The sequence below is a fragment of the Homo sapiens genome, chromosome 22 (assembly GCF_000001405.40).
Source record: "Homo sapiens chromosome 22, GRCh38.p14 Primary Assembly".
Lineage (NCBI taxonomy): Eukaryota > Metazoa > Chordata > Mammalia > Primates > Hominidae > Homo > Homo sapiens.
The window spans coordinates 34,097,908-34,117,102 of NC_000022.11; the positions used below are offsets into that span (position 1 = coordinate 34,097,908).

General features: G+C 44.0%; 1 long non-coding RNA gene across 22 annotated transcripts in view; it reads left to right on the top strand.

Moving 5' to 3' along the window:
- Positions 1-19,195, top strand: part of LINC01643 (long intergenic non-protein coding RNA 1643) — a 201,365-nt gene that overhangs the window by 80,476 nt on the left and 101,694 nt on the right. For 8 of the 22 annotated variants that reach the window (NR_183600.1, NR_183601.1, NR_183585.1 and 5 more), the window contains 3 exons: positions 2,451-2,534; positions 10,032-10,082; positions 11,419-11,527. The exons of 1 other annotated variant lie outside the window; for it this stretch is intronic. This is a non-coding gene — a long non-coding RNA (long intergenic non-protein coding RNA 1643). The remainder of the gene's footprint in view (positions 1-2,450; positions 2,535-10,031; positions 10,083-11,418; positions 11,528-19,195) is intronic. 13 more of the 22 variants (NR_183602.1, NR_183598.1, NR_183597.1 and 10 more) reach the window with 3 other exon arrangements.

Sequence of the window (19,195 nt, forward strand, 5' to 3'; positions counted from 1 at the left end):
GACTTACTGCATTTGAGGGGTTTGCAGTATATCAAGGTGGAGTTGACAATTAGACCTTTACATTTGAGTCTGGAGCCTAAGAGAGAGTTTAGAGATAAAGGCCTGGGATTGGTTGGCGTTTAGGTTACCACTGAAATTCCAGGCACGATTGAGTTCTCCAGGGGGAGTATGATGAGAATAAAAGAAAAGAAAATATAAAGGGGCTAAGATAGGTGGACACAAAGAATCTAAGTTTATGAGTCTATCTCCCCATAATTGGAAACACTACTCATAAGAACCATTCTTCCGAAAGAAATTGGCACAGTTAAATGGGACCAAAAGAGACCACGCCCTTTTAGGGAGTCCCGTTAGACTACAAACTCCTTGAGGTCAGCCAGCACATCTGCCTCAGTGCATAGCCCAGTGTTTGGCACATAAGCATCCCTCCTCTGTGTTATGAATGAATGAGGATTCATTGTAGTTGGCATACAGAAGACCAAGAGACACCTGAAGGCTGTCCTGAAAGGTTTGAAGAGCCAAGTGGACACCACAAGGTCTCACTGGTTTGAAAGTTCACAATTATGGCGTGGACATTATAAAAAAAGTCAATTTCAGCTGTTACATCAAAGAAGAGCTTTCTGAAAAATGAAGGATTGAGGACCGGGCGCGGTGGCTCACACCTGTAATCCCAGCACTTTGGGAGGCCGAGGTGGGTGGATTGCCTGAGGTCAGGAGTTTGAGAGCAGCCTGACCAATATGGTGAAACCCAGTCTCTACTAAAAATACAAAAATTAGCCAGGTGTGGTGGCATGTGCCTGCAGTCCCAGCTATTCAGGAGGCTGAGGCAGGAGAATTGCTTGAACCTGAGAGGCAGAGGTTGCAGTGAGCTGGAGTCGTGCCACTGCACTCCAGCCTGGGCAACAAAGAGACACTTCATCTCAAAAATAAATAAATAAATAAATAAATAAATAAATAAATAAATAAAGGATTGAACAGTGAGTCATGAGTTTTATGTCCCCAGAGGCCATTAAGCCTGAGGCTGGGGTGGTCTTCAGGGATGCTGGAGAAAGGATTCCCTATTGCCTGAGGGTTGGAGGTAAACCCCTCTGAGATCCTTTCTGCCCTGAATTGAGACCTAACTTGCAGGATTAATGGAAAAAACTTGTTTATTAGAATGAAGTTCATCAACATTCAAATACCAGGTTGGTGGCTTTTTAGCTGTGTAATCTTGGACAAATTATTCACTCTTCCTGAGTTCCAAGTCTTCATTAATACCATGGGCTTATGATGCCTATAGTAAAGGTTAGGATTAGGGTTTGCTACTTATCATAGAAAAGCTCAGATACCACTGACTTGAATGAAATAGAAATGCGGTTTTTATTTCTCCCAGAAATGTAGTGTGTAGGTAGGGATTCTAGGGCTAGTGTGCAAGTTTCTTTTATTTTTCTGCCCCACCATCCTCATGTTCATCCATCCTCATGTTCACCTCAAGATTCAAGCTACCTTTAAGGACCATCCCTACCCCCACCTCCACATTCTAGGTTGCAGGAACTGTGTGGGTGGGGTGGGGGAAAGGACAAATATAGGCTAGTTTTCCTGCTGAACCAGTTTCCTTCTGCTTTTATCTAATTGGCCACAGCTTAGTCTCATGGCCACAACTGACTGCCAGGGAGTCCGAGAAATGTTCTCTTTGCTCCTCCTTCCCCAAGCAATTATGACTCTATCACTAAAAAAGAAGGTAGAATGGATACATGAAAAATAAAGTAGAGGTTCCTCTTCAAAGACTTTCCTCCCAGTCTAATTAGGAATAAATAGCAACTTCTCTTAAAAGCAAAATTTATTCAAAGACCTGTGCTAATATTCTTAAATATCTGCTAGCCATAATAAAGAAATCGATGTGCTTTATGTTCTTAGCTCCCACAATTTAGCCTAAATATTTGCCCTGGCATGCTTATACTAGTCCAAGCAAGCATTAAGTCATAGCCTGTTCCTCTTCCTTATCTGAAGGTGTTTTTACCTTTCTCAGCATTCCACAAGTTACTTCCTCCTTCCTTTGTTCTCCCCTGCCTTTGCCTCTTTTAAAAAGTTCTAAGTTGCTAGCCAATCAAGGCAAATACAGAATGTGAGGTCCCATTCCAGCCAGTAGAAACCGGACACAGCAGTAAGGTGGAAGCGTCAGGTTATAAATGACCCTGTCTCCTTTGTTCAGTGTACTCTCATGGCAAAACTGCTGGTGAGTGTACCCTTTCTGCAGAAAGTATAAAAATAGCTTTGCTGAGATTTATGTTCAAGTGCTATTTCTTTACAGCACTGAAGAACAAGCGTTTCAAACAGATATCACGGCACAATTGCCACTGTCTGCTCTTCCCCCTGGCAGAGTTCCATGTGGGTGAAAGAGATAATCCAGTATATATCAAATGCCTGAGCATAGTAGATGCTAACTAAATTGTCATTCTATTCTTATTCTACAGTAATTTGCAAGCAGATGGAACTTCAATATGGCAATAGAGAAAGAATCAATTAGACCAGAGTCTCCTCAGGAAGACTTTCTATAGGTAAGATAGAAAAAAGAATTGTAGTTTCCATTAATTGGCAATAGTAGGAAGAGTATTACAGAATAGGGGAAAATAGGAGGATAATTGTAATGCCCATTTGCTGAGGTTATGTGCCAGCCACTGTGCTTAGTACTTGGCCAGTGTTGTTCTCATTGAATTCTCATAACCACCTTACGAGATAAATACTATATTTGACCCTGTTTTACAAAGGAAGAAAATGAGGCTTTGAGCAGTTCACTGACTTGCCTGTGTTCAGGTAACTACTAAATGTTCAATCCAGAATTCATACTCAAAGATGTCAGGTTTTGAAGCCTGTAGTTCTAACCATGAGGCTGTATTACCACCACCATTCATTAATTCCTGCAAGCATTCATTCATGCAATGCATATTTGTTGAATTTCTACTCTATGCCAGGCATTGTTTGGAGCCTGGGGATACAGAGGGGTACAATACAGACAGTGTGTCTGTTTCAACAAATTTATATGCTGGTGGTGGAAATAAGTAAGTAGAAATAAGTAAGTAGAACCCTAAGTGAACAAAATAATTGCAGACACTGATAGATGTCATGGAGGAAATAGAACAAATAAAAGACTTGGCTGGTGGAAGAGGCTACTTTCAACAGGGTCCAGGAAGACTTCTCTGAGCTGGGGACTGGATGGTAAGAACCAAACAAGTGGCCAGGCACAGTGGCTCACGCCTGTAATCCCAGCACTTTGGGAAGCCAAGGCAGGCGGATCACCTGAGGTCAGGAGTTCAAGACCAGCCTGGTCAACATGGTGAAACCCGTCTCTATGAAAAAAAAAAAAAAAAAATTAGCCGAGTGTGGTGGTGGGTGCCTGTAATCCCAGCTACTCGGGAGGGTGAAGCAGGAAAATCGTCTGAACCTGGGAGGCTGAGGTTGCAGTGAGCCAAGATCATGCCACTGCACTGCAGCCTGGGTGACAGAGCGAAATTCCCTCTAAAAAAAAAAAAAGAAAAGAAAAGAAAAAAGAACCAAACAAGTAATGATTTAGGTCAGGGAGATTCAGATAGAGGGAGTGGCGTGTCCCAAAGGAATGTACCTGGCTTGTTTGAGGAAGGAAAGGAAGACAGCTGGGCCTGGGGCAGGAGAAGGAGCACCTGTGATGGCAGAGCCTTAGCCATTGCAGAAAGAAAGATTCAAGACTCTTCTAATTAGATTCTTTCTGGAAAGAGGGTGCTGGAGAAAAGGACAAGGCACTGTTTTTCTCTCGTGTTTTTAGAGTATTCTCCCTTATCTGTGGCGAATGCATTCTAAGACCCTCAGCAGATGCCTGAAACTGCTGATAATACTGAGCCCTATACATACTGTGCTATGTTTTCCCTGTATATTCATACTTTTGACAAAGTTTTATATATAAACTAGGCACAGTAAGACATTAACAGAAATAACTAATAATTATTAGTAGTGAAGCAAAAATTAAGTAAAATAGGATTACTTGAACACAAGCACTCTAAAACCTCAAGAGTTGAATTGATGACTGAGATGACTACTAAGTGACTCTGGGGCTGGTAACACCTGCAGCGTGGATACGCTGGACAAACGGAGGATCCACATCAGGTTGGGACGGAGTGGCGATTTCTTCATGCTACTCAGAGCAATGTACAATTTAAAACGTACAAACTGTATATTTCGGCCAGGCACGGTGGCTCACACCTGTAATCCCAGCACTTTGGGAGGCCAAGGTGAGTGGATCATGAGGTCAGAAGTTTGAGACCAGCCTGACCAACATGGTGAAACCCCATCTCTACTTAAAAAAAAAATAAAAAGTAGCCGGGCATGGTGGCAGGTGCCGAGATTGCGCCACTGCACTGGAGCCTGAGCGACAGAGCAAGACTCTGTCTCGGAAAAAACAAAAACAACAAAAAAGAAAAAACAAATTGTATATTTCTGGAATTTCCCGTTTAATATTTTCAGTTGACTGGGGGTAACTAAAAACCTCAAAAATCAAAACCACGGATGGATAAGGGGAGACTGCTGTATTTACAATTTTTTTCTTTATTTTTTAGTGTTGGGTATGTCAACCCATGAGACAACCATGATACAAGGAGAGTGACATTTTGTTCTGTTTAGGAGTCCATCTGATTGCATGTGGCCCCATCTGGTTCACTTCAGTGAGAGGGAAGCATGACTATTCCGGGGTGGCCTTTTCCTCTTTCCAGGTTAAACAAGTGTTTGTGGTTGCTGTGGAGCATGTGAGAATGATGGAAGGAGTTCGGCAGTCACCACTGATGATTGAGCACACCCTGCATGCATGGTCCTGTGCAGGATGAAGCTGTCCCTGGTCAGGGAGCTGCAGAACCACAGCTCCTGCAGAATGGGTGAAAGCTGAGCTCATCATATGGAACTGTCCAAGGTACAACACCAGCACGTGGCTGCTTCAGCATCTTATCCTTGAGGAGTAGGCTCTGAAGTTCAAGAAACACAGGGTCAAGGTTTTGCTTAGCAGACTGGCCTTAGACCCTTGGGAATCCCCCAGAGTCTGGAGCCCAGGACAAGAGTGTCTGGTGGGAGAGCAGTGAGGCCCAGGAAGGGAGCCAAAAAATGTCCCTCAGGGCCGGGCGCGGTGGCTCACGCCTGTAATCCCAGCACTTTGGGAGGCCAAGGCAGATGGATCACCTGAGGTCAGGAGGTTGAGACCAGCCTGGCCAACATTGTGAAACCCCGTCTCTACTAAAAATACAAAAAATTTGGTGGGCATGGTGGCGCATGCCTATAATCCCAGCTACTCGGGAGGCTGAGGCAGGAGAATCACTTGAACTCAGGAGGTGGAGGTTGTGGTGAGCCGAAATCGCACCATTGCACTCCAGCCTGAGCAACAAGAGCGAGACTCTGTCTCAAAAAAAAAAAAAAAAAAAAAAATCCTTCGGAAGACCTGAATGAGACCATCTCTACTGCATTTTGTGTAGTCCTGGGTCATGACAGTTGAAAGGTTGCAGAGACAATTGAGAAGAAAAAGTGGGCAAGATTGAAGAATGTGAGCGGTATCGGTCCTGAATGCCAGAAAGGGTAAAGGGACAGAAGTCAGCTGTTCAGGAAGAGGAGCTGACTTTGGATTTCAGTTTCGAGTCCTGGCAAAGCATCCAGGTAACATGATGAATTCTGGAAATGAAGCAGGGCTTACAAATGCACCTTTAGGAATCTCCTGGTGAAAATTTCAGGTCAACAGTAAAGGTTTTTGCAGTCTAGTGAGCCACAGGGGACAATTAAATCAGGTCTCTAAGGTGGTGACCTACTAACCCACACCTCATGCCGGCCTTGAAAACTGTCTGAACAGGGCTAGACTGGGGCAATGGGAGCTGCTACTTTGGGGTTGGGAATGTAGGGGCTGTGAAGGGGCTTGGCTCTCTGAGAGATGCAGGAAAGTCACATCCTCCTCTTTGTGCCGCCTCCTGTGCCGCTGACCCCTCCATCTTTTAGCAAGCCATTTTTCTTAAGTACTAAATGATGGAAGACAGACAATTAAGCCAGAGCCCAAGTACTTCATCTGCTGTTAGTTTCCTTAATTGTATTTCCTACACATTCTTTATAAATAGATTTAAGCAAGACACTATGTTCTTTAAAGTGTGCATTTTTGTTGCTATGGAAACGGTTGCTTTTATTTCCACCCCCCACCCACCCCCCTCCCCAGCCTAGCCATAAAGTGGAAGTTAGCACCTGTTTTTCTAGACAGGTGAATTATCTACTAATCCTTGTCTTTTAAGGAAGTCTTAATGAGCGGGTCAGAATAACCTGCTGATGGTGTCGCTTCAAGAGAAGCATCCAGTGAGCAGCTGTGATTTTCAGAAGACAAAATCCATTATTGCTAACCTTTCATATAAGCGACTCATAGATTCATAGACTGTAGGAACTGGAGAGGAATCTCTAAAGAGATAATTCTCATAACAACAATTTGGAATCACCTTATAGATGCATTCAATGTGTTAATTAGTTTCTAAAGGAACTCTGAAATCAAATCATTTGTTTGAAAACATTTATTGAGCATTAGTACTGAGCTAGAGTAGACACAGGTAATCATCCTGGAACATTGCATTGTGCCTGTCACATGAAAGAGACTCAGCAACTATTTCTCTGTGAATGAATAAAGCTGCCCCCTCCTCCAGGCCGGTGGGAGAGATGGACATTTTACAGGTTATAATGTTCTACGCCATGTGCATGGATATGGCATAGGAGCATACAATAGGTCACATCTCTGACTCCTCTGTTTTTTTGCAAGGATGGGTTGGGCACGGTGGCTCAAGCCTGTAATCCCAGCACTTTGGGAGGCTGATGTGGGCAGATCACCTGAGGTCAGGAGTTCAAGACTAGCCTGGCCAACATGGTGAAACCCCATCTCTACAAAAATACAAAAAAAAAAAAAAAATTAGCCAGGCATGGTGGTGGGCTCCTGTAGTCCCAGCTACTTGGGAGGCTGAGGTGGAGGAATCACTTGAACCTGGGGGGCCGAGGTTGCAGTGAGCCGAGATTGCACCACTGCACTCCAGCCTGGGTGACAGAGCGAGACTCCATCAAAAAAAAAAAAAAAAAAGTGGAGGATTAGAAGAGAAGATATTTGTCAAGATCTTGTGGCTAGTCAGTGTCAGAACCAAGTCTACGACCCAGGTTTCCTGAATCCCAGTCTGATAGCGTTTTCCTACATCACATGGACTTTAAAACAGTGCTTCTGATACATCAATGGCCACAGGGTTGACCTGGGGCTATGGACTGACTCCTTGTGGAAAGGAAAGGATCAAAGCAGCCTCAGGGTCTGGCTAGCAGAACTCATGGGCAGCCCCTTCAGGGGACAACTGTCAGGGCGAACGTTTCCATTTTAAGACCTATGTCGCTCTACTGAAGAGACAGTTTTCCGGGAAAGAGAGCCTCACTGACCTAGCTGAGGTCCAGGGCTGACTCCTCAGCCAGGGGAAGTTTGGGAACTCTGAAGAACAGTTCAGGGTATACTGCGTCCATTGCGGCGGCATAGTTCTAAACGTGAAGCAGAGATGCTTTCACCAGAAGAAGCAGGAATGCACGCCAGACTGTCAGGAGAAACAGGTGTCTGATGAAGAATTTCTCCAGCTAAATGCCCATACATCCACATTCAATTAGCAAGCAGCCCTATGTCTCACCTTATCCATTGCCAACTGCTTGGTCCAGGCTAGCCGTCTCCCGTGGATCACCGCCTTGCTCCCAGTTATCTGCCTGCTCCACGTTGCCCCCTGCAGTCTGTTCTGCACACAACAGTTTGAGAGAGCCCTTTAAAGCACAAGTCAGATCAAGTTACACCTTTACTCACAACCCCTCCGCAGGACTTCTATCATCCTGGCAATTAAATCCAAATGCAAAGTCCACACATTGCTCTGCAAGGAGCTACCTGCCTTTTGCTTAATCTCTCTGCCCTCCTCTCCTGCCGTTCTCTCCGTGGCTGTCTGTACTCCAGCCCCACTGGACTTCTTCCCATTTCCTGCACCTGCCAAAATGTTCTCATCTCAGGGTCTTTGTATTTGCTCTTTTCTGCCTCCTAGTTGCACTGTTTATTCCCTTACTTAATTCGAATTTCCGTTCCTATTCCATCTTCTCAAAGAGAGCTTCCATTTCATGTTGCCTGAAAAAGCTGCCTGCCAGCCTGGACATTCTTTAGCCTCTTAGCTTTATTATTTACAGAAATATATATTCGTTCAGTGTTTCTTTTCTCATTAGAATGTAAGCTACACAGGGTTTCCTTTGTAGCTCAAGAGCCCAGGAAGGAGTTGGCACTAGTAGATATTGTGAGAAGAATGAGTGAGCATACATCTATGTTTAACACACACACGCGCACACACACACACACACACACAGATCTTTTTTCCTATGATTTCAGGTGGTCCAAATAATTATCTTACTCCAAGTAAAACTAAAGTCCTGGCTGGGTGTTTCCAGGTCCTCTGAAGCTTGGGGGTCCCTGCATCTTAGGTTAGAAACCTCTGCTATGATCCAAGTATCTCCAGTGCTGAGCGAAAGGGGTCCCAGTGATTCAGGAACTCCCACCACACTCTTCTTCCTCCCCAAGCTGGCTTTTCAAAGAGCCATTCCATTTTCTACCCTTGAGTGACAGTGACACAACTGGAATTACAGAGGAATTACCATATGAGGTTGGTGCAAAAGTAATAGTAGATTTTGCCTTTAAAATCGATGGCAAAACCACAATTACTTTTGCACCAACCCAATAAAAATAACAAAAATTAACACCTGTCCAAGGCACATAATACAGTATGTTAATTACAAGGAGCCTAGAATATCATTTGCTAAATACAAGGACAGGACAAAATTTCAATTCAATTCAACAAATATTTACCGAGCACTCACCGTGTGTCAGCCCATCTGCTAGGTGCCGGGAGAATGGCAGCAAAGAACAGTAGCACTTACTCAGGGGGCTTACATTCAGGAGGGAGTGGGCAGACAATGCAATAGAATTGGTTATAGGTCTGCTGGAGCATAAATAATAAGGTGACCAAGACAAGAGAGAAAAATAAAATCAGGAAAGGGGAACCGGCAATGTCATTGATGGAGAATCCTTATTCCCTAAATAAGGATTTTAGGGAAGACCTTGCTACTAGAACAAAGGGTTGAAGGAAGTGTGGGAGGATGTGAAGATAATCTTGAGAAAAGCATTCCAGGAAGAAGAAAGAACAAATGCAAAGGCCCTGAGGTGGGAGTCAGATCCACCATAACTAGGAGGTACCTGTGGCAGGGATGGAGGGAGCAGTGGGAGACGAGAAGGAAATATGGTCGGACAAGAAAATGTATGGCTTTGGGTGCCTTTGCAAGGACTTTAGGTTTTTTATTTGTTTGTTTGTTTCTGTTTGTTTTTTTTTTAGATGGAATTTCGTTCTGTCGCCCAGGCTGGAGTGCAATGGCGCGATCTTGGCTCACTGCAACTTTTGCCTCCTGGGTTCAAGCATTTCTCCTCCCTCAGTCTCCAGAGTAGTTGGGACTACAGGCACGCGCCACCACGCCTGGCTAGTTTTTGTATTTCTACTAGAGATGGGGTTTCACCATATTGGTCAGGCTGGTCTTGAACCCCTGGCCTCATGATCCGCCCGCCTCAGCCTTCCAAAGTGCTGGGATTACAGGCGTGAGCCACCGCGCCTGGCCAGGACTTTAGTTTTACTTGGAGTAAGAGAATTCTTTGGACTTCTATGAGCAGAGGCACAACATGTTCTGACTTGTGTTTTGACAGCAGCACCCTGGCTGATGTGTTGAGAGTAAACTGTAGAGAGCAAGCAGGGAAACAGGGAGATCATTAGGAAGATCAATCATCATCAAACAAGCAAAACCCACCTTTATTCTCTTTCCTGCTCTGGTGGGTCTCCCTTGTAGTCAATATCCTGGGAACTCAGAAAGATTTCATTACTGTGGATGAATAAGTTTAGCCTGGGGAAAGAGTTGCCGTTCCCTCTGGGTATGCCCCAAACTTCCCATACAGAGGAAATCAAGACGTGTGCGTTTGTTCCTTCCAGGTGGACGGTCCCCTGGAGAGCCCGCTGTGTTGGAAGATGTAGAATATTCATGTAGGTATACAGCTGGCAAGAGGCTGGGTGATGGGGAAAATGATAAGAAAGGGCACTTAAATCAGGAGCCATCTCACAAGTGGAAATTAGTTAAATTCAGTCAATTGCTGACTGATTTTATGTTACGGAACTCAAATGCTCTGAGGCCCAGTCAATCGAAACCCTGTTTCGAAAATGAGCCAGTTATGGATGGATCTGCTGTTCTATTATTAAAAGAAATGGATCTGTTCAGAGAGTAACATACGTAACACTAAGAGCCCGCTTGGTGGATGAATGCACTTGGTTTTTCTTTATTGCCTGAGACCTGGGATTAAATTCTGGAGAAAGTCAGAGACCTGCAGAATTTTTACTGACAAGGCATCCTAGGTATCACGTGATCACTTCATTTACTAATCCTAAAATTGAGGCTCAGAGAGGGCCAGTAAATTGCTGTGGTGAACCCCCTCCAGATTTTGGTGGCTTCCTGAAATAAAGTGTTATTTCTTGCTCTCATCACAGACCAGTGTGTCTAGGCAGGGGCTCTGTTCCACAGAGTCCCTCAGGAACCCAGGCTCCTTCTACTATACCTCCTGGCTCCTCCCATCTGCAAGTCCTCAGAGACATCTCAGTTTAGCTGGAGAAAAAGTGTAAGGATCATGAGAGGTTTGTGTGGGTCAGACATAGAAGTGGCATGTATCGGCCAAGCATGGTGACTCATGCCTGTAATTCCAGCACTTTGGGAGGCCGGGGTGGGTGGATCACCTGAGGTCAGGAGTTCAAGACCAGCCTGGCCAACATAGTGAAACCCTGTCTCTACTAAAAATACAAAAAAATTAGCCAGGCATGGTGGCAGGTGCCTGTAATCCCAGCTACTCAGGAGGCTGAGGCAGGAGAATCGCTTGAACCCGGGAGGCAGAGGTTGCAGTGAGCCAAGATCACACCATTGCACTCTAGCCTGGTAGACAAGAGCAACACTCCGTGTCACAAAAAAAAAAAAAAAAAAAAGAGAAGTGGCACATATCATTTCTGCTCACATGCTGCTGGCAGAACTCAGTGTCGTGGCCACAAAAGGAAAATATAGTCTAGCTGTGTGTCCCTGAAGAGCACATGGATATTGGTGAGCACTGGCCATACCCACCAGAATTAGTGGGTACCAAGCACTAAGTGATGGTGCCAGGCCAGAGAAATGCCACAACGGACAAGAGGGGATATGCCCAAAGCTTCTTTTGATTCTGTCCTTTCTTCCCTTTTCCCTTTCCCCCTCCCTCCCTCCCTCTCTCCTTCCTTCCTGTCTGTCTCCATCTATCCTTTCCTTCTTCCCCACTCCTTCTGCTTATCACCCCCTTTCTTTTCACAGATATCTGGTGAGCATCTGCTAGATGCCAGGGTTGGGGAGAGTCAAGTTGAAGCAAGCATGAACCCTCAAGGACCTACCATTTCAAGGCAAGAAATAGATACAAATACAGGTATGCACAGCATAATAATATTTCATCAATGACAGGCTGTGTATCTTGATCCCATAAGATCATAATAGTGTGTTTTTACTATCCCCTTTCTATGTTCAGATATAGCTAGATACACAAATACTTACCATCGTCTTACAACTGCCTACAGCATTCAGAGCAGTCACATGCTCTGCAGGTTTGTAGCCTAGCAGCAATAGGCTACAACATATAGCTTTGATGTGTAGTAGGCCAGACCACTTAGGGTTTATGGAAGTGTGCTTTATGAAGCTCGCACAATGATGAAATCTCCTAATGATGCATTTCTCAGAGTGTATCCCCATTGTTAAGGGATGCATGACTGTTCTTAGAGGTGAGGTGGAAGTGACAGATGCCACAGGGTGGCTAGGGTGCTCTGGAGACAGCCGGAGGTGAGGAACAGGAGAGAATGGGTGGACTTCCAACGGCGTCATTCCCTAACTGTGCCTTCTGGACCTGCGTAATCTCTCTGAGCTTATTTCCACACCTGTGCAATACCTGCACACCTGAAGGACAGCGATATCCTTCAGGCAGTGGTGGGATGGAATGAGGATTTCTGAAGATGCTGCTACAGTGTGTTGTTATGCTCCATGCATGTTGGTCCTCTTTTCTTTGGCCAGGAGGAGGGGGAGTTAACTTCCTCCCATTGCAGCAGAGAAGGCTGATGATGCAGGTGGCATCTGAGCTGGATCTTGAAAGATCAACTCTTCACTGTACTGGGATATCTAAGGGTCAGCTCTGGGCTGATTGAAAAATTCTGCATCCACATGACAGTGGCTTGGACCATGGCATGTTAATTTCCTATTGCCGCTGTAATAAGTTGCCGTGAATTTAGTGGCTTAAATAGTACAAATGGATTCTCTTTCAATTCTGGGGGTCAGAAGTCTGAAATGGGTTTTGCTGAGCTAAAGTCAAGGTATTAGCAGGACTGTGTTCCTTCTGGACACTCTGGAGGACAATCCAGTCCCTTGCCCTTTCCAGCTTCTGGAAGCCACCTGAATTTCTTGGCTCCTAATCCAGCCTCAAAACCAGCAGCATGGCCTTGCAATTCTGTCTGACTCTGACCCTCCTGTCTTCCTCTTACAAGGACCCTTGTGATTGTGTTGGGCCTACCTGGATCACCCAGAGTCATCTCATCTCTGTGATGTAAGGTAGCATATTTACAGGTTCTGGGGATCAGAACGTGGACTTCTGGTCGGGTATGGGAGGGCGGTGTTATTCCTTCTACTACACATGGCGAATCTGATTTCACAGAGTTTTCACTCTATTAAATGCCTTGTGCTGACTTGGGTACTGGGAAGAGTATTTCATGCCTTCTTCAGTACTGAAGAATCTGTACTGGGTACCACTTCAATGCCACACAATACAAGTTTACTCCTCTAATTTCCTAGATGCAGGATGGGGAGAGAGAGGCATACAGCTGATGTCTCGCCACCTGCTAATCATCCCTCCCCCAATTAGCTAATCCTGGAAATCCCACACTGTAGATATTTATTTCTTTAATATAAGCCTTTGATTCTTTCAAACAAATGTGTGAGAAAAAAAAAAGGAAATGGAGGAGGGAGAAAGAGAGTAACATTATTTGTTGTTATCAGTTGTTTGAATTTCAGTATGAATTAATTTTTGATTATTTTTGTTGTTGAGAACAAATTTAATGGAGATAAGAAGAGAATAAAAGGACTTTTAGTGTTTAGTTGTGTAGAAGGAATGGAATCCATCAGACAATGTGTTAGGGGTGGGTTTGGGTGGAGGTAAGAGCTGGAGAATGTGATGCTGGAGGCTAAAGATCAAGTAGCTCTTTCAAATGTGGTCTCTACCATCCAGTCTTGGGCTCTGGCTTTTCCAGGCTGTTTTGACTGGCATTTCTCAGTAAGCTCACCTAGAATCATTAAGTTTATCCAGAGTCTGCTGTTTGAATGTGTAAGGTGCCTCTTCTCCGCTGCTATGACCGTCACCATTGGAAGCCCTCTAGTGGACAGGATCTAAACATGCACCCGTGTCTCGGGAGCCATACTCTGGTTGAAAGGGACCTGGAGGGGAGAACCCTCGGGTGTGACCCCTTCCCCTAATATGATTACCCAGGCAAAGGGACCCAAGCCACCTCTCTGCACTCCGGAGATCTCCACGATTCTGCCATCCTTTTTGGCACAACCCCAGGGTTGCATTAATGGAAACAGGACACTTATTATTGAGCTGGTTTTGCAGGGCTTGTGTAATGGAGAGCTGCAAGCTGGAAAATACATTGGATTAAGGACAGCATAGTTTTTCATCAGCACAAAAAGGAGCCATAGGTCAATATAGACTTTCTGCTTCTGTGGAGTTAGCCCTTTAGTGTTCCATGTGGGGTGAGCAGGGCATGCCTTTGGGTGACCAGCAGAAAGCGGCCTAAAAAAGAGAGGTTATCACTGATTCAGCTCCAGACTGCAAAATATGACATCAGGAAGTTGTATTAGATGGCTCAGGCTGCCATAACACAATACTAGACTGGGAGGCTTAAGCAACAGAAATTAATTTTGTCCAAGTTCTGGAGGCTGGGAGTCCAAGTTCAAGGCGTGGCAGCGTGGGTTTCTCCTGAGGCCTTTTCCCATGCCTTGCAGATGGTCACCTTCTCACTGTGTCCTCACATGGCCTTTCCTCTCTGTGCAGGCATTCCTGGTGTCTCTTTCTCTTTTCTTATAAGGACACCAGTCCTACTGAATCAGAGCCTCACTCTTACGACCTAATTTAACCCTAACTACCTCCTAAAGACCTTATTTCCAAATACAGTCACATTGGAGTTAGAAGTCCAATGTGAAAAACATCAATTCTGAGGAGGATACACAATTCAATCTAATAACATGGATGGTATTTCTTGGGGAAAATACATATAACTTGTAGGACAAATGTCTATTCGGGGGAAAAAAAAACAGCTACTGAAGACAAATTTCATTCTGGAAAAAATATCCCATGGAAACATATACTTTCCAGCAAAAAAACACTGGAAAACATATACATCGGAAATTATTTTTATTAAAAATCCCCCCTCCCAAGAAAAAAATATTCTCTAGGGAGAATTTTCGTTATGAAAATGTTCACTGTGAAAATATTTAATAGGAAAAGTATCCATTGGAAAAATCATTGCCAAAAAAGCGAGGGAGGGTGATGACATACTGGAGAAATATTCTTTCTAGGAAAAATGCCTTTCAGGAAAAATTTTACTAGGAGAAATGACGACTCAAAAAAGATGCATGAGGTGGGCGGATCGTGAGGTCAGATCGAGACCATCCTGGCTAACATGGTGAATCCTCGTTTCTACTAAAAATACAACAAAATTAGCCAGGCATGGTGGCGGGCGCCTGTAGTCCCAGCTACTCAGCAGGCTGAGGCAGGAGAATGGTGTGAACCCGGGAGGCAAAGGTTGCAGTGAGCCAAGATCGCGCCACTGCACTGCAGCCTGGGCAACAGAGCGAGACTTTGTCTCAAAAAAAAAAAAAAGAAAAAAGAAAAAAAAGATGCGCAGAGGAAAACGTCTACCAGAAAAAAAAAAAAACTTAGTATGAAAAATACCTATAGAAACATATCCTGAATGGAACAAATACCCACTGGGAAAATATGCATAGAAAAATTATGTTCATCATGAAAACAGCCTTTGACTATGTACCTGTAAAAATGAGGAAACTATCATTTATTTTGTATACACCACGTGTCATGCATTCTTCTCAGAGTTTCCCACCTATTAATTTATTTATTCCTCATGAGAGCTTTATGAGGTAGGCACTATCTATGCTCCAATTTACATATGAAGAAGCTGATGCGCAGCGGTTGGGTAACTTGCCCAAGTTTGCACATGAAGTAAAGGGCAGTCCTGACTTTGAACTCAAACAATGATTCATTCATGCAACATTTATGAAGCACCTACTGTGTGTCAAGCACTGTGTTAGGGAATGAGGTCTAACACTGGCTGAAACATAAGCCTCAGTTTTAAGAAATTAACGTGGGAGACAGATTCATAAGCAGACTATGAAACTATAGGGAAATGAGCCTTTGTACATTCGCCTTCACATTGGTAACTGAAGCAAAATGCTCCCACCAGACTGAAGTTTCTTTGTGCGTTTATGAAAGAAGCTGCTGTCCTGGGTCTGCGGCAAACCACAGCTCCCCTGGGAATAACAGCCTCTGGGAAAACATAAACACTCAGGAGAACCCTCATGAGTGCATTGGGAAACATAATCCCAGGAGAAAGTGTTCATCAAAACATGTACCTGATGGGATACTTATTTGAAACCTAGTCCGGTAGAAAGTCTTCTCTCCTCTTTCCGGTCCAGGTCTTTGCTCTTGGCCACATGAGCTCAACTGAGATGGCCAAGGAATGCAATGGCTTGAGTAGTGAAATGGGCTGCAGGAGCCTTGTTGCAAGGGGGGAATTGGATGAGATCTGGTGGAAGTTCTGAGTTCTCTTAATTTTTAAAAACCATTACTTGCTTATGGTCTAACCCCACTCATATGTTAGCTCCATGAGGTCAGAGCTCCCTGCCCATGTAGTTCATCTGTGCGTCCCCAGTGCTTACAAAAGTTGGTGCTCAATAAATACATAGTTCCAAAAGAGGGGATGTTGATCATAGTTATAGCAGAGATGTTAACTGCATGGATGCTGGAGATGACCTAACCTGAATCCCAGCTCTACCATATCCTGGCCGTGTAGACTTGGCTAAGATACTTGCTAACTCTGAGTCTCAGTTTCTTCATCTGTGCTGTGGGGACGATACTATTGTTTTTGTATGGCTCTTGGAGAGATTAAACGACATAATGCCTGTTGAGTACTTAGCCTGTATTTGACACTAGGTAGAGGGTCAAAAAATAATTGGAACTTGTCCCTCCCTTCATGAAGTTTATGGTCAGGTGGGCTATCCCCCAGCTACCAGCCCTCCCCACAAAGCTTCACACTGGAGGCAGGGACCCAGCAAAGCTGGTTATTTAAGTCTGGAATCTGCAACTCAAGTTTTCTTTCTTCCCTGTTGTCTCTAGAGATTAAGTGTGCTGTAGGCTTCCATCTGCTTCTGTAATAAAACATAAATTATTAAAGCCATAAAATATTGATGAACTGTTTTATAAAACAGAGAGACTTTAATGTATTGATTATGAATTGAGAAAGCCTTAATGAGTTTCAGGAGGAGAAATAATTGGGCAATGATGCTGTGTTGATTCATTCTGTGCCCCTGAATGAGAGGCAGTTATGAAAATAAGTTCCTCTTGTACCATTTTGCATCACTGTCATCTTGCATTTGTGCCATGGTACGTTTAAAACCTATGCTTCCATGAACGTTAAAAGCTAACCAGAGAGAAAGAGAGAGAGGGAGAGAGAGAGAAAGGGAGAGGAAAATTCCTTGTTAAAAATCAATGAAGTATTTTAAGTGGAAACTTCCTTGCTTTTATTTAGCTCCCTATGTGGCTCCCAGAGACCCTGAAAAACTGATGGTTAACATTGTAGCTGTTTCATTTTTAGATGGTTCATCCAACAAGAGTCTCTTATTAAAGTTCAGGAGGACTTCTCTCTTCCTTTCATCTTAGGATGAAGAATCCAATAGCCAGAACTGAACTTGTAAGAAGGCAGGACAATACACTTATTTTACAGATGAGAAAACAGAGTTCCATGGAGAGATAATGTCTTGTCCAAGATCCCACAAATCGTTAGTTTTTAAGACTTGGCCTGGCACCTAGGTCTTCTGACTCTGGTGTTGGTGATTCTTCTTCCATTTCTTAAAGGAGGACTTTTGGAGGATGAGAGTTGTTTCAATGTGGAGCGGGTTTTTGGGTTTTAGTCTTGCTGAATAGCATGGAAGCAGAGAGACTAAATGGCCTCTTGACCTCTTGGAAGGCATGTTACAGGGGGATTTGAAATTCCATGGAGTAACGCAGTCACTGCATTAGTCATCTATAACTGGCCTGCTGATCTTCAAAATCTCCCAGGTCAGACTCAGGCTGGCAACTTCAGACACAACCACATCGTTGTGATTCTCAGGAATATCCAGTGAGGGGAAGAGGCTGCACTACTTGCTGATGAATCCCTCACAGCTACTATATGAGATGGGAAGGATAAGTGTAAGTATCCATGAAGGACTCTAGGCTCAGAAAGTCAATGGAGTTGCCCAGGTTCACACAGATCGTTGGTGGCAGAATCAAGGGCTAGGACCATTATATTTGGAGAGGTAGGTTACCATTCCTGTACAAATATTAAATACCATACTGCCTTTTTATTATATTTGGAAGAGTTCACTCCAAGGGCAAGAGTGATATGTTTTCAATGAGACCGGCCCCTGCTGGTCTCATTGAGAACACATGAGGTGAGGGGTTGGTTGCTGACTTCATTTTGCCTTCACTTGTTAGGTCTGATGCTTGCCAGAAAAGTTGTTGGGAAGGTCACGGTAACATTTGCAGCTAATAGTCATTGAGCACTTTTGCTGTTCCTGACAACTATGCCAAGTACCTTTGCTCCCATTAGCTCATTTCTCTTTCATAGCAACCTTTGAACTAGGGAATGTTATCAGTCTCATTTTATAGAGGAAGGAATTGAGGCACAACAAGGTTAACTGAGTTAGATAGTGAAGCAAAGATTTGAGCCCAATGACAGGCTTGGAAGCCTACAGGCCTAACTGGGTAACAATTGCAGATATGTTTCTTATTGTCTTGAATCATGCTGCTTCATTTAATGGTACTGACCTCTTGTTTTTTCTTGAAGCTGTTGCTTATTTTGGCCTCAACTGTGACCACTTCTGGGTCTCTTTCATTTACCTCCTTCCAGTTGCCAGCCACAGCCCCTGGTAGTTTCCCAGTGTTCTCTTATAGCCTTCAGTTACTTTCACTAGACATGGGCTTCTTGGGCAATCCCAGCTAATTGCATGCATTTTACATTACCTTGCTATTAACTACACTGCTGACTGTCAATTCTGTATTGCCAGCCCTGAACTCTTCCTGGTATCAGGGTAATCCTGGTCTCATAAAATGAGTCAGAAAAGTGTTCCCTTTGCTTATATTTTCCATAAGAGACTGTGTAGAATTGGTATTATTTATCCCTTAAATGCTTGGGAGAATTTGCAAGTGAAACTATCTGGGCATAGAGATTTCTTTTTTGGAAGGTTTTTTAAACTCTGAATTCAATGTCTTTAATAGTTATAATTCTATTTGGGTTATTTCCTCTTGAGTGAGTTATAGTAGTCTGTGGTTTTCCAAGGAATTGGTCCATTTTTGACGATTAGTCAGATTTATGTGAGTTGTTTAGTAGAATTGTTCATAATAATCCCTTTTAATCCTTTCAATGTCTGTAGGGTCTGCAATGATATTCTGTTTTTTATTTCTGATATTGATAATTTGTGGCTTGTTTTCTTTTTTTTGAGACAGAGTCTCGCTCTGTCGCCCAGGCTGGAGTGCAGTGGCACAATCTCGGCTCACTGCAAGCTCCACCTCCCGGGTTCATGCCATTCTCCTGCCTCAGCCTCCCGAGTAGCTGGGACTACAGGTGCCCACCACCATGCCTGGCTAATTTTTTGTATTTTTAGTAGACACGGGGTTTCACCATGTTAGCCAGGATGGTCTTGATCTCCTGACCTCGTGATCCGCCCGCCTCAGCCTCCCAAAGTGCTTGGATTACAGTGGCTTGTTTTCTTAAAATCAGTCTCA